Source organism: Homo sapiens, chromosome 10 (assembly GCF_000001405.40).
Source record: "Homo sapiens chromosome 10, GRCh38.p14 Primary Assembly".
Lineage (NCBI taxonomy): Eukaryota > Metazoa > Chordata > Mammalia > Primates > Hominidae > Homo > Homo sapiens.
The window spans coordinates 76,249,232-76,265,623 of NC_000010.11; the positions used below are offsets into that span (position 1 = coordinate 76,249,232).

General features: G+C 38.6%; 1 protein-coding gene and 1 pseudogene across 3 annotated transcripts in view, besides 1 other annotated feature; one reads left to right on the forward strand and one right to left on the reverse strand.

Annotated features, from left to right (window-relative positions):
• LRMDA (leucine rich melanocyte differentiation associated) overlaps positions 1-16,392 on the forward strand; it is a 1,128,545-nt gene that overhangs the window by 817,608 nt on the left and 294,545 nt on the right. The window lies entirely within an intron of this gene.
• Positions 2,740-3,034: a silencer, noted in NCBI's record as "tiled region #15163; K562 Repressive non-DNase unmatched - State 24:Quies". NCBI's record gives its function as "represses a minimal TATA promoter and a strong SV40 promoter by Sharpr-MPRA in K562 cells {active_cell/tissue: K562}" and the evidence as "EXISTENCE:reporter gene assay evidence [ECO:0000049][PMID:27701403]".
• Positions 11,570-11,671, reverse strand: RNU6-673P (RNA, U6 small nuclear 673, pseudogene; annotated as a pseudogene).

A 16,392-nucleotide genomic window follows, 5' to 3' on the forward strand; every position in this document is an offset into this window, starting at 1 on the left:
CGACTTTCTTGGCAAAGCTATGCTTGAGTACTCCTAGCGGGTGGCTAGATTCTCAGTGAGATGCTTCTGTCATAAAATACCCTAGAAAAGGAGGTTCAATTCATGATCCAGGGTGAAGTCCTTGTGTTTTAGTCCTATTAAATTAAAGAACCAACTTTTGCTGAGTGTTCCAAGACTGGATTCTTTCTTCCCTGTTGTCGTCAGCTCTCAGTAGGTGCAGACCTTCTGCAGAACTCCGATGGCACCCATGAAGGAAGAGGAATCCACTCTTATGGTATCAGAGCTTTATGAACCCTTTCTTAATATTAGAATGGAATCCTACAGCCAAGAGAAAACTGTGTCTCACATTCAAAGAGGCAGACATTGGAAGGAAAATATTCACCTTCTGACAAGTTTTAAAGAAACAGAAAATATTGCTTCTTTTTAAATATTTGCCTGGGTTTGATCACTTAATATTTTTTAATAGGTCACAATACTGCATTTCCAGGTAGATCGACTAAAATGCTTGGAGAATGGTTCTGTTTAATTTATTTGCCTAGTTAACTTACAGCAAACCACAAATTATTTATTTATGTATTTATTTATTTTTTGAGACAGTTTCACTCTTGTTGCCCAGGCTGGAGTGCAATGGCATGATCTTAGCTCACTGCAACTTCAGCCTCCCAGGTTCAAGTGATTCTCTTGTCTCAGCCTCCTGGGTAGCTGGGATTACAGGCATGTGCCACCACGCCTGGCTAATTTTGTTTGTATTTTTAGTAGAGATGAGGTTTCGCCATGTTGGCCACCTTGGTCTTGAACTCCTGACATCAGGTGATCCACCTGCCTCGGCCTCCCAAAGTGCTGGGATTACAGGTGTGAGCCACCTCACTGGGCCACAAATTTTTCATTTAACACAGTTGAATATGATTTCATGACTAAGGTTCTCATTGCTGAGTTATCATTCTTCAGCTGGAGAAGGGGAGAGGGAAGGTGCACTGATTCCCAAAGATCCCCTGGCATATTGTGAAGCAAGATTGAAAGATGTATCCTGGAAAAAATTCATTAGTTTGACTCTCTTTTTAACTGCATTCCTATAAATTGAGACTCTACTCATTTAAGGTGGTTATGAGAATTGAGTGGATATAATGGGATACAGAGGGTGGCACATTGCAAGCTTTGATGATAAATTATGGATGTTATGATATGTATGTACTTTCATTTGTAAGTAATGATTTTTATAAAATATTATGATACATTTCTAGGCTGACCTTGAAGGAGAATACTAACATAACTTTGGAAAACCAAAAAATGAAAAAAGGGTATCCGTTTCTCATCATGAATAGGTTTCAAATCTCGTATTTGGAGCATTTCAATTTAAGTTTGAAGAAGCAGGACTGAGGTCACATTTTTCTCCATTGGACATTCTTTCTGATGAATAAGTATTAAAACTGCTTTGAATTTGGTTTCCCCCTTAGATAAGAAATTATTTTTTCCATACAGTCTTTTCTTTGCACCTGAAGGAGCATTGAGGGTGAAAAATAGAGGCCTGTTTCCTGTTCCTAACTGGAGCCCTCCAAGGTTGTCAAACTAGAGCAACAACTTTGTGGGATTTATGCCTGGGACCTGTCAAAGTAGAATTATCATAGCAAACCCTCTCTGCTATCAATCAGAGGGGTATTGGGGATGGCAAGGGCAGGCATTTTTCAAATTTCTTTACTGTGCATATTTAGTCTTGTGCCTGGGGGAGGAAGAGCTCCTTTGAACAGTTCTTGTAGATTTCTTTTCCATCAGATGGCAGCTCACAAAACTACTTAATCTTCCCCAAAGGGCTTCTCTCATTGGCCTGCTGAGAAAAACAGCCAAGGAAGAGAGAGTGGGGGAAGACAGGGACAATCCAACAGCAAATCCTAGAAAATAACGCATTGCTTTCAGAGGACGTATGGTCTAAGTCTGGTCACACTGATATCATGACTTAGAAAAGCACACTGTCCATTGAAGGTTATCTCCCGTCGCTTCTTTTTTTTTTTTTTTTTTTTTTTTTTTTTTTTTTTTTGAGACGGAGTCTCGCTCTGTCACCCAGGCCGGACTGCGGACTGCAGTGGCGCAATCTCGGCTCACTGCAAGCTCCGCTTCCCGGGTTCACGCCATTCTCCTGCCTCAGCCTCCCGAGTAGCTGGGACTACAGGCGCCCGCCACCGCGCCCGGCTAATTTTTTGTATTTTTAGTAGAGACGGGGTTTCACCTTGTTAGCCAGGATGGTCTCGATCTCCTGACCTCATGATCCACCCGCCTCGGCCTCCCAAAGTGCTGGGATTACAGGCGTGAGCCACCGCGCCCGGCCCTCCCGTCGCTTCTAAGTATCATGTGGACATTTAGCAACAGCACAAAGCTGACAGTGCTATCATAGCGGTGTGAGTATTCTTCTGTCCTCCAGAGCCATTTCCCACATTTGTCAAGACAAAGGTTGAAGGGGACCGGACAAGGGAAATGGGTCACCCATTCATTCCCATCTGTCAGAGGTTTGCTTTGTCATGATAACATTCAAGGAGCATGTTTATCTATCCCGCTACTGGAGGTTAAGGCAAGGGTAACAAGAAGAGAAGAAACCCTGTTTGAAAAGTTTACAAATCCTGCCGTGAGGGCTGTAAACAGAGTCCAGCCGGTGGTGGAGCGTGTTAAATACTGCCACATTGATAGGGACCTGGTTCCCCGGCACTAGAAATCCACTCATGTAAACAGAGGAACTGTTGCTGTGAATCGGGTCTGTTTTGACTTAAAGTCTAAGAAACACATTGCCTTCAAAGTGAATTCTTAGGTGTCACTTCCCATAAGTTATGGCAGAAGATTACAAAGCTACTGATATAACATATTAGTTTGATGGACAGAATTATACCCCCAACGCTTCCTGCTCTCCCCAATGACGCACACTAACTTAGTGTACTGTGACAGCTGCCTTGATTTACCACCAGTCCGGGAGGCCAACCGGGAGAAGGAACGTTCACATGGACGCAGGGCCTGAGACTGGCCTGGAGCCTAGTTTATAAAGCTGCCCTGTAATTCACCACAAATGTGTCACCATTAAAAGAGGAAAAAAGGATTGCAGATAATAAATACTCTTTAATTTATTAGCTAACAACAAAGAGATCAGAGCCAGTTGTGATGTGATTGTTTGACATAATATTGTCAAGGAAAAAAAAGCTAAGTTGACCAGAGAGGTAAATTACACATTCAAGCAGATGCATCAACTCTTGGCTTGTCATAAGCCCAGCTAAACAAAACACCACACAGAGGGGAGGACTGGCCAAGAGCAGAGCCATTTATCTCTGAAAGAGACATATTCAAGAGCAAGTGAAATAAGACATAGTTCTTTTGGACTTGGTCAGAGGCCAGGTTTTAACTGTTATAAATTAAATGTTTTGTGTATAGGATTTGGCAATTCTAGTTGCCTTTGTCATGGTAGGGAGATGTTAGGTTTTTCTGCCTGTCTTAAACTCATGGTTTGGTCAGCTGGGGTGTGTGTCCTACTGCTAGATATTGGAGGATCACTACCTTTTGGTAATTAGCAGATATTGGGAAGGTTTCTGTATGTGGCTTGTGATAAAATCAGTGGCTTTAGAAAAACTTGTAATCGCCTTCGTTTTCTGCAATTCTTCCTCTACAGTTGTTGAGCAATACTCACACAGGTCACCAGGCAGGAATTCATATTGATATTAGACTCGTGGAACCTGAGGATTGGAAGAAACATTTCATCCCGCATCCCACCCAGGACATGCAGACAGTTGTGTATGAGCGGGGCAACTTCCAGGGAGGCCAGGCATCTGCCGTGTGTTATTGTAACATAGCTCAGAGTCAACCAGTGCTTTCTGGGCTTTTATTTTTATATAAGCGACTGCCCAGCAAAACTCTCCCATCCCTTGCTTGGGAAATTGAGTTTTCAGATCTAAGTGGGTACTTTTGCTTTGTTTTGCATATTATGGGTCTTTGGGTTTAGCCTATTGTTAGAACAGATTTCTGGGTTTTATTCAACAGTCTGGAGGCAAGGATAGAGTCCTGTGGGTAGGTTTAAGGACATTGATTCATGGATCAACATTTTTTTGATGTAGTTAATTGATCTGCTATGAATTGCATCTCATTTATTTTATTTGTTGCAAAGCAATATCATGGGGGATTTTTGTTAGATGTCTTATTGAAATCAATTTATAATGTTTATGGTCTCACTGATCTACCAGCTGAATAACTGTTTCTAAAAGACAGAGCTAGAAGGCAGGGAGGGAGAGAGAGAGAGAGAAAGGGAGTGGAGAAGAGAGGGGGAGAGAGAGAGAGAGAGAGAGATTGATTTGGCCTAGCTCATTCTAGGTAAAAAGATGTACTAGCTCTTAAAAGTTGCTACTATCTTTTCAACGTGCTCATATATCATATATTTAACATAATTTTTTACAATTTTAGTGTCATTATTTTTAGAATCTTCTGTTCCTCCTTTAAAAAATCAACAAAAATATTTGCCCAAATTTGCTTTTTATCTGTATTTTTTCAAATATTAGTAACATTGTTTCCATGAGCAGATCTATAAGAATTTTTTTGTTGTTGCTATTGTAAAATAAGATACTATTTGTATAGGTCTAGACACCAGGCATCTCCTATGTCTCATAAGCTCTCTAGGGCCTCATTCTTCCATTTCTTTTTTCTTTTTTACTTTTCACTCATCAGTCTAGCCCAAGGATATAATTTCATGATGGAGAAAATAATGACAAAACAAGAGCTTAGTTTTAATCATTCTGCCTTTCCTCTGTCATTTGGGATTTCTTTTTTTAACAACCATTTTCCAACAGTAGACTTATTTTCTTCCTTTGAGCATGGTTTTCATAAGTGACTTCTTAAAATCTGAATTCACTAGAATATGCCCCATACAGTTATACTAGTTTGGTTTCTTTCACTGCTTCCCTATCCTCAAGCTTCCCCAACCTTCCTTCCTTGTTGTCAATATTCATAATTATATACTCAGAATTTCACTTTTAGTAGCATCCTTCCTTCTTGAATTTCATGTCCTATTAGGATCAATATCTGTGGAAATTACTATACTATACTATACTATACCATACCATACCATACCATACCATACCATACCATACCATCCTATCCTATCCTATCCTATGCTATGCTATGCTATGCTATGCTATGCTATGCTATGCTATGCTATGCTATGCTATACTATACTATACTGAAATGCTATAGTCTCTTAAAAATAAAGCAAATCCAATCAAGAGTATTCATATATTTGTGTTCCAAAATATGCAAAGTTATCTCCAATTAGGCACGGTCACTTTCTCCTAGGGGTCTCATATCTTCCATACCACCAATCTTTTTATTTTTTAAGTTTGATCATGTTGGCATTTGTTCTGCTATATAATGTATATTATGTTGCTACTTTTTGAATATGTTCACTAAATGCACTTCTGCCTGATTTTCCTGGTTTCCAAAAAGGATTTTCCCTCTTCACCTCTTCTCCTCTCCTCTCTCTCTATTGGAAATACCTTTCTTTTCAGCAAGGTGTTCTCTTCCACTGTCACATTCTGGGCATGATTACCCACCACCGTGAGTTTAGTTCAAGTTCATTTTATTTTAGAAGTTACGACCGGTTTTATAGGAACAATGTGCCTTTATCATGTCAACTCCATGTTGAAAAACCTTTAGGGCCTCCTCCTCGCATTTGGGTTACAGCCACAAACCCTTAGCCTGGCTTCTGAGGTCCACTTAACCTTGAACTCAATGTACTTTTTTGGCCTAACCTTCCAGACTTTCCCTATTTTCACTCAGCCTTTCAAATCAACTGATCTGCTCATAGCCAGCAACATGATTTGTTCTTTTATTCGTTCACCTCTTTGGGCTTTCCCCCCAGACCTTTTCTAGTTTTCTTAATTAGAAAGTGAGTCACCAAAAAGGTCATTAAAATCAAGTCTTTCATTGCCTTTTGTTTTTTTCTCTATGAAGAATAAAATAATTTTATGGTGCAAAATGAACTTTTGAAGGCTAAGAAAGAACATAAAGTTTGGGCCAACCAAAATTAAAAGTGACTCACAATTAATACTACCAAAGAAGGCAATCTTCCGCTGTCCTTAAGTCAGCAAGGATTTATGAGAGTGCTTGATGATTGTGTGTTGCATTTCCTCTGTTGGAAATGATACCTAGAATTTTAGAAGCATAGATTCTGAAGGATGACTTCATAATAAGGATTTTAGGAGCCCACTGTTACCCATCTCAACCTTGGATGCCTGAAATACACTGACATTCCTACACATGGCTACATATCATTCTTATTATTCAGTCCACAGCCATTGCCAGGATAGATAAAAAGCAACTGTCATTTCACATCAGACCAAGCTAGGAAAGTATATCTTTCCTCAACCAAGAAGATGGAGTATGAACCAGACCACATGGCCCAGTGGATGGGAATTGATAGTGCATACAGTAGCTTTAAAGCAGCATGGAGCAAAATAGATTTAAATCATTCCGAAAGAAATAAATCCTAACAATGGATACATTGTGCTGAATGAAATGAAGCTCACAAAAGAATTGATTAGGAAGTATACCAAATGGAATAAAATGTAGCAGAAAGGCACATATTAGAGAGAATAAAATATGTTTCAGTCTGAAGGGGATTTAATTTACTAAGATACAACTGACCAGCTATAAAGCAGATGAATAACATATGTAGTCAAGTCAAATGGACATTCAATGGAAATAGGTTTATATAGATCAATGGCATCATGTGACCAGTTTCATTCTTCTAATTCTATGGCTCATTGTGTAATATCTTTAGCTCTCTCAAGAAAATCTGAGGCTTTTCCTGAATCCTGAAAGAGGGAACTCACCTTAAAGGAGTGTATGATTAATTGGAAATAGGTTATTGTTTGTTGGCTTGTCTTGGTCCAGAGAACCATAATAATTTTCTGGAATTAGAAGGATTTTACAGTAAATTGCAATAGAGTATCACAGTGAAGACTATTTAAGCACTTTTTCCTCCAATGTTAAGTTAGTTCTACTGGTCACTGTGCTGAAATACTTAGAGCCATCAATGGTCTTCATTTCTCTTTCTAGGAAACTTGGAAATTTTAGGTCAATATTGAAATTATCTTGCTGGGAATTTTCTCCCACATGCAAACATATTCATTAAACACTCTGTTGTGCTTCAGTCGGAGTCCTTTGGAGAATGTAATTCTCAACATGAATGAAGCTTATTTCCAGCGTTATTCACAGTGGCATATCAAGGGCAGGGGGGAAGACAGTGGTCTGCTCCAGGTACAGACAATGAGGGGATGCATTGTTTGTAGAAAGTTTTAAAACAATAATAAAACCAACTAAAATTTTGTGTATATTCTGTTATCACCATGAACTGGCAATTCAGGCAATTAAAGTGATAAAAATACTCATCTCTGGAAAAAAGCTGTCAATCTAAGTTCTAAGTAATTGCCAGGAGTTCTGTTGTATTTTAAAATAATGACTATTATTGTTAATATTTATTACATTTTAACACACTTAAAAGTTTATCTTTTAAGACACATCGTATTCTATATGGAGTTACTCTGGGGAACTCCTAGCTCTCCAGGAAGCCTTAGCATACATGAACTTAGCTGTAAATTCACAGTGGTTTGGAATATTAGAGATCACATCACAGTCAGTGTCTCTAAAACCTTGGTAGCATATATTTCTGCATTTGAACAATATATTTGAACTAGGCAGTCGTAGAAAAATGATTGAGAGATAAAGAAACAGGTCTTGAGTTAGTTCTGTCATTCAATGAGACTACTTGGAGCATTTACTTGTTTTTAATATTTAAAACAATAAAATAAAATACAAACCATGAAGTGTACTATTTTGTCTTTGGTAAGTGCAAATTTAAGTTTATGCATGAAGATCTCTAATATATTTGAATAATAGCTTTACATTAAAAATTTAATTTTCTTTTTAATTGTTAATTATTTCAAAACAAAAGCAAATTAAAAAAATAATAATTACTAATTACGTGCTTATAACTGAAAAGAATTTTGTTTTATGGAGGAAGGGGTATTAATAATTATCTGCTCTGGGTATCAAATATGCTAGCTATGGCACTGGGTATTTTCTTTTTCTTTTTTTTTTTTTTGAGACAAAGTCTCACTCTTGTTGCCCAGGCTGGAGTGCAATGGCATGATCTCAGCTCACTGCAACCTCTGGCTCCCAGGTTTAAGCAATTCTCCTGCCTCAGCCTCCTGAGTAGCTGGGATTACAGGCACCCACCACCACACCTGGCTAATTTTTGTATTTTTAGTAGAGACGGAGTTTCACCATGTTGGCCAGGCTGGTCTCGAACTCCTGACCTCAGGTGATCCACCTACCTCAGCCTCCCAAAGTGCTGGGATTACAGGTGTGAGCCACGGCACCTGGCCAGCACTGGGTATTTTTATTTTTATTTTGGTTACAGATGATAAAACAATTCAAATTGCTGAAAAAATATGTAATTTAATACTTTATCAATTTCCTTTTATCTTGCAACAAACCACCTCGAAATTTAATGGCTTAAAATAAGAGTTATATATAAGGTCACAGTCCTGTGGGTTGGCTGGGTGCTTCTTATCTGGACTGACTTGGTTGGGGCTGGATGGTCACAAATGGCCTCACATGTCTGGGGCTCAGTTGAGATGGCTGGAATAGCTTTCCATGTGATCTCTCTTCTTCCAGAAAGCTAGCCTGGGCATGTTACCTGGTGGGAGAAAGGTTCCCTTAACAGGAGAAGGAAAACTCCATGCTCAAGTACCTTTTAGGCATTTCCTTGTATAACATTTGTTAATGACTCATTGGACAAAACTTGTTACATGGCCAAGTCCACATACGAGGGGTGGAGAACCAGACTCTACCTCTTGATGGTAAAGCAGTAAGGTTACATTGCCCAGGGAAGTATGTATAGAGGTAAAAGAAATTTTTGCAGCCTTTTTTGTGAATAATCTACCACCTACCCATAAGGGTTGTGTTATCTCCAGGTATTCAAGTAACATTGGCAGTAATTTCCATCTTCATACTTCGTCTCAGTTCTACTTTTTTATGTAGTTCATGTAGCCTTTTTAAATTAAATGTATTTTTTTTACTTGGCATATAATACTTGTACATATTTATGGGATACCTAGTGATGTTTCAATACATATAATGTATTGCATGATCTGATCAGTGTAATTAGCATATCCCTCATCGCAAACATTTTTCATTTCTTTATGTTGGGAACATTCAATATCCTTCTTCTAGCTACTGGGAATGATATAATATATTATTGTTAACTGTAATCATCCTACAATGTTTTTTTAACATGAGAAATTATTCCTCTTATCTGGCTGTAATTTTTCATCCTTTAACAAATCTCCCTAACCCTCTCTTTGCTTTACCCTTCCCAGCCTCTTGTATCATCTCTTCCACTTTTCATTTCTATGAGATCATCTTTTTTTAGCTTCCACAATATGAGTGAGAACATGTGGTGTTTAGTTAGTTCTGTTCCTGACTTATTTCGCTTAACATAATATCCTCCAGTTTTATCCATGTTGCCGTGAATGACAGGATTTAATTTATTTTTATGGCTGAGTGATATTCCATTGTGTGTATATATATCACATTTTCTTTATCTACTATTCCGTTGTTGGATACCTAGGCTGAGTCCATATCTTGGCTATTGTGAATAGTGCTGCAATAAATATGGGAGTGCAGATGTCTTTTTGATATGATGATTTCCTTTCCTTTATATACATTCTTAGTAGAAGGATTTCTGGATCATATGGCAGTTTTATTTGTAGTTTTTAAGGAACCTCGATACTGTTCTCCATAGTGGCTGTACAAATTTACATTCCCACCAACAGTGTAAAGAGTTCCTTTTTTTCTCTATCCTCACCAACATTTGTTATTTTTTATCTTTTTGATAATGGCCATTCTAAATGGGGTGAGATGCTATCTCATTGGTGTTTTGATTTACGTTTCCTTGATGATTAGTGATGTTGGGTATTTGAAAATATATTTCTTGGCCATTCGTATGTCTTCTTTTGAGCAATGTCTGTTTAGATCATTTGCCTATTTTCATTCTTAATTTTTTCCTTCACTCATTGGTTGTTCAGGAGTATGTTGTTTAATTTCCATATATTCATACAGTTTCCAGCATTCCTTTTGTTATTGACTTCTAGTTTTATTCTATTGTCATCTGAGAAGATGCTTGATATAATTTTGACTTATCAAAATTTGTTGAGACTTGTTTTGTGGTGTAACATATGGTCTATCCTGGAGAATGTTGCATCTGCTGATAATAATGTGTATTCTGTAGCTGTTGGCTGAAATGTTACCTACATGTCTGTTAAGTCCATTTGGTCTCTGGTGCAGTTTAATTCCAGCATTTCTTTGTTGATTTTCTTTCTAGATGATCTGTCCAATGCTGAGAGTAAGGTGTTGAAGTCCCCAACTACTATTGTATTGGGGTCTATCTCTCCCTTTAGATCTAATAATATTTGTTACATATATATATATGTATATATCAGTGTTCTGGTGTTGGGTGCATATATATTTACAGTTCTTATATTCTCTTGCTTAATTGATCCCTTTGTTATCATATAATATCCTTCTTTATCTCTTTTTAGAACTTTTTACCTGAAGTCTGTTTTGTCTGATATAAGTGTAGCTACTTATGCTTGCTTTTGGTTTCTCTTTGTGTGGGATATCTTTTTCCATCCCTTCAGTTCAAGTCTACATATGTCTTTACATGTGAGGTGAGTTTCTTGTCAACAGCATATAATTGGATCTTTTTTTTTTAAACCCATTCATCCTGTCTATGTTTTTTAATTGGAGAATTTAATCCATTTACATACAAGGTTATTACTGATAGGTGAGGACTTACTCTTGTCATTTTATTCGTTGTTTCCTGGTTGTTTGGTATATTTTGTTCTTTACTTCCTCTCTTATTATTTAATTTTGGACTTAGATGTTCCCTGTAGTGATAGGTTTCTCTTCTTCTTTTGTGTATTGCCTTGCTTCTTTTCTCTTTCTTCCTTGTGTATTGTCCCTACCAGTGAGTTTTATAGCCATTTTTTGCATGTTTTCATGATGATGATGAAGATTTTCCAGATGTAAGGCTTCCTTGAGCATTTCTTGTAAGGCCAATCTAGTGGTGATGAATCCACTTAGTTTTAGCTTGTCTGAAAAAGATTTTATTTCTTCTTAATTTCTAAAGGATAGCTTTGCTAGGTATAATATTCTTGGCTGACATTTTTTTTTCTTTTAGTACTTTGAATATGTCATCCCATTCTCTCTTGGCCTATAAGGTTTCTGCGGAGAAACCCATTATTAATGTAATGAGAGTTCCCTTATATGTGACTTGATGCTTTTCTCTTGCTGTTTTTAGGATTCAATCTTTGACTTTGACTTTTGACAATTTGAGTATAATGTGCCTCCAAGAGAACCTGTTTGGGGTGACTCTATTTGGAGTTCCTTGATCTTCCTGGATCTGGATGTCTATCTTTCTTCCAAGACTTGGAAAGTTTTCAGCTATTACTTTATTAACTATGTTTTCTGCACCCTTTTCCTTCTCTGAAATATATGAACTACACAAATTCATATGCCATCCTTGTGCAGGGGCCATGCTAATCTTCTCTGTATCATTATAATTTGAGTATAGGTACCACTGAAGTGAGCATTTTTAAGAAATAAATTTTGATAAGATGGCCAATATCAGCAAATGGATTACTTCTTGCCAGCTTAGCAACCCTACTGGAAAGAGAGCTTGTTCCAATAGTTCAAGACAAAATTTCAAGACTGACTTTTATTGGCTGGATTGACTTGCGTTTCTTTTCTTTTCTTTTTTTTTTTTTTTTTTGAGACGGAGTCTCGCTCTGTTGCCCAGGCTGGAATGCAGTGGTGCGATCTCAGCTAACTGCAAACTCCACCTCCTGGGTTCACGCCATTCTCCTGCCTCAGCCTCCCAAGTAGCTGGGACTACAGGCGCCTGCCACCACGCCCGGATAATTTTTTTTTTTCTGTATTTTTTAGTAGAGACGGGGTTTCACCATATTAGCCAGAATGGTCTCCATCTCCTGACCTCGTGATCTGCCTGCCTCGGCCTCCCAAAGTGCTGGGATTACAGGCGTGAGCTACTGCGCCCGGCTGGCTTGCGTTTCAATCTAAGCTAATCACCTGGGTCAGACCCACACCTCGTACCAGGAACTGGGCTCATGTCCATCAGAATCATATGAAATGAAAGGTGGAAGGCACTGGTTCTAAAAAAAAAATGACACCCTAGTTGTTACAAAATGAACAGTGAATTAATGCTGGGCATGCAAAAATAAGAGCCTTTGACTACCCTCTTGTGCTTAGGTCATAGTATCAAGGAGATAACTAGATTTAGGCTTTCCTACTTAGGTTTATTGTTATTTAAACTCACTTCTCATAAGCCTTGAAAAGCAACACACATGCCTTCAATAATGGGTCTGCAAGTTGAACTTTAAATATTTGCTTTACATATTTTTTGAAAGTCACATGTGCAAACATTTTTATATACATACTTACAAAGGTAGATAACATTTCTGCAGGATGAACCCGTCATATAAACTCATTGATGTGCCACATGTGCACAATAGGTGGATTATGACTAAAAAACAAATTTAGAATGACATTTGAGCAATCTTGATAAGTTTATGGAGTTGTTGGAGAAGGAAAAATATTAGTGGGGAAGAAAATTGTTGGCAATAAAATTAGAAAACGAGCCTCATGTAATCCCAGCTACTTGAATGGCTGAGGTGGGAGGATCTCTTGAGGTTAGGAATTCAAGGCCACCCTGGGCAACAAAACAAGACCCCATCTCTAAAAAAAAATAATAATAATAAATTAATCAGATGTGGTGGTATACACTGGTAGTCCCAGCTACCCAGGAGGTGGAGGTGGGAGGATCACTTGAGCCTAGGAGTTCAAGCTATGTGCATGCCACTGTACTTCAGCCTGGACAACAACGTGAGACTCCATTTCTTAAAGTAAACCAAAAGCCTTCAAATGCATATAACCTAAAATCAGGAATCACCGGGGTTCTCAGTGATTGAAATCTTTACCACCAGTGTTCACTCATGCTAGCCTCATACTCCCAGCCTGCTCCACTCATGTACGCGCTTCTCATCAACATGCTTTATTTTCTGAATGATTCTCCGTGAAAAGAACAAAGTGGGGTGATGGAAAGTATAGTCACTTGGCATTCAGGTTTAGGTTCTGGCTCCGGCACCGTGTGAAGTTTATGAGTCTTTTCCCATTTCTGGGTCTCAGCTTCATCTTCTGTCAAGTGAAAGATTAGGGTAACTGATCTCAAATAACTCTCTGGCATATATGTGTTCGGCACCTACATCTTCTCTGATTGGTCCTGGGTTATTCAACATCTTTCCTCTGCAACTTATTTAGCCCTAGGTTTGGGGAATGGGCACTAACTTCTCCTGTACAGATTCTTTCCCAAGCTTCCAAATCCATGGCCTTTAGTTTTGAGGTTCTGCTGGCCCCTGTTTTTTTCCCCAAAGCAAACCCTCTTGACAAATTCATGCTTTCCAGCAAGCTTACCAGGGTAAGTCATGCTGGCCAGGGTGACTTGTGACACTCTGTTTCCACAGCTGGCTCTGGCCTGTGCCTGACTGCTGCTGTGTCTGATTGTTACCAGCCATTTGCCCTTTCTTAAGCCCTTGCTAACCATTTTCTTTACAGAATATATATGTTATGTGCCCTAGCATAATTTTTCTCATAATGAAATAGAATCATTTTCATAGAACTTTGCAATGTTGTTAACATTAGCATTTTGGGGAAAGTCTTCTTTATAGTTGTTTATAATCTCATTTTCAAATTGAAAAAAAATTCAAATGCTATTTTTAGAAGGATACATTCCAAACATTAAATGATTGATCTTTACTTTGGAAGGTACCTCTTGGGTCACCTTTTCATCTCTAGGGAGTTGATTCCAAGGCAAACTTGTTTCTGATGAAGTGTTTCAATATGCTTTATTATAATCTGGGACCACAAAAGGAACTTCTAACAAACTTTTTTTTTTAAAAAAAGATCATCTGTTTATCTCATTCTCTCTCTTTCTTATGCTTTTGCAAAAACTTTTTATCAGTTTACAGCAATATGAAATTCAAAGAAAAATCAAAATAGAAAAAAACTCTCCAGTTTGAAAAATGGAGTTGATGTGCTATTTTAATTTGGTGATGATTCTACTGAGGCATTGTTTCCAGGTTTGCATGATGGTTACTTTATCTTTTTTGCCTTTTAGACTCAATAAGATATTTCTCCATAGCACATTACTCAAGCTTCTACATAACTCATCTCACATAGTTACGAAGTTTTGTCCCCTTGGACTGTAAGCCCAGGCAGGGATGGGAGCTTGTTCATTCTTGGATCCCTACCGTCTTGCATAGTGCTTGCTATGTAGAAAGCACTCATAGGCTCAAGTGGAAGAATACTGTGTAGGAGCAAGAATAATATGTAGGGGTAAAATGTTGAACATGCATAAATATTGAAACAAAGAAATAAATTGATTTTGGTGATAGGTGACCCTGAGAGGGATAAAAGTGTAACCCAGAGGCCCTCCTATGTTACAGTGGCAAAACCTCTGTCAACTCTGATGTCTTCTGCTACAGGTTAAACAAGAATGGAAAGCTCTATTCAACCATCTAAAACTCTGCCTTCATAATAATGATGGATTTGCTGTCATCATAACTCATTCGTAGGTAATCTTGCAAGAGCTGAACTTTGGAACTACTGCCATTTGGAAGGGTTCCATTCACTCTAAGGGAAACCTGAGAATCTGAGTTCATTTACTTTTTATTCCCCCTTTTAGCAGTAATTTGTTCATTTACCTTTAATGTTGAAAGGAAGCAGGTTGAGGCCAGCCATGATGGCTCACACCTGTAATCCCAACACTTTGGGAGGCCGAGACCGGCAGATCACTTGAGGCCAGGAGTTCAAGACCAGCCTGGCCAACATAGCAAAACACTGTCTCTACCAAAAATGCAAAAAATTAGTCAGGCATGGTGGTACATGCCTGTAGTCTGTAGTCCCAGCTACTTGGGAGGCTGAGGCATGAGAATTTCTTGAACCCAGGAGGCAGAGGTTGCAGTGAGCTGAGATTGTACCACTACACTCCAGCCTGGGTAACAGAGCAAGACTCTGTCTCAAAAAAAAAAAAAAAAAAAAAAAAAAAAAAAAAAAAAAAAAAAAAAAAAAACACGGAAGCAGATTGAAATAATGTGTTTTCCATTTGCAAGTGGCATGGTCATTTTAGTTGAAGGCATGTCCACTGCGAGTATTTCGGTCAGCTTGGCTGCTTCTCATGCTGTTTGCCCAATTCAGCACTACAGATTTTGCTCTCTTAAATTCCAGCTTTATCCCATAGGAGAGGTGCAGATTTCTATTTCTCATCTCTCGTCTGTTTTAATTCTTTGGGAGAGGAGTCCTGAGTACTAAACAGAAAGGTACGCATGGAGAAATGTAAAACATATTTTCAGGCACCTTTGTGAAAGGAAAATTTAATGGGACATTATAGTACTATGGGAAATGGAGAGAGATAAGAATCATGCCCCATGCTTAACCTTTTGGACTCATCTTTGCCAATTTCTATGTGCAGTTCAGTAAATTAAATAAGCTTTCCTTAGCCTGAAACTGTCTGTGATAGTGCAACCTTTCACTGAGGTATCACAGACAGACATTCAGCGTTCAAGACAGGGGCCTGACACCTTTCAAAAGTGAAGGAACCTGTGGCAATTTTAAACATTCCAACCATATTAATTCCAGTGACAGTTATCCTCTAAGTTATTTGAAATGGATTCTCCCTCTTCAACTTTCGAAACTTATATTTGATCCCCATGGCCTCTGGGGCCTGCACAGGGGCACTCTCTGTGACTGAGTGCGTGAACAGCAGGAGGCAGAAGCAGGAAATTGTTGATCCGGTCCGTTTATGTCTTTCCTCCTCCTTTAGCTGTTCTCTGTACCTTATTCATGTTTCTAAGGAAAAGCCTTGCATTTCCAAAAGAAGGGTTGAATAACGGTTTGGAGTTCTTTCTTTGAGGGCAATGTTTTTATTATTGCTCTTCCACCCAGGCTGAAAGTTGAGTGTCATCTCTCAAGCATAAGCAACTAGGCACTTCACAATCAATACTGGGCTCAGTGGTTGAGCCCTGGTTAATAGAGCTGCTTCTTTTCAGGTGCTCACACTCAGCGCAGCCGAATTCTGCCTTCTCTGTCCTGGGAGGACACAGGGACCTGTGCCCTTCTCCAACAGTGGGATCATTCTCGGGAAGTGCTCCTCACTTTCCACATGGTCAGGAAGTTTTGGATGTCTATAACAAGCACAGGCGAGGCTTGGTATGGAGCCCAGTGTTTATACTTAAGAGA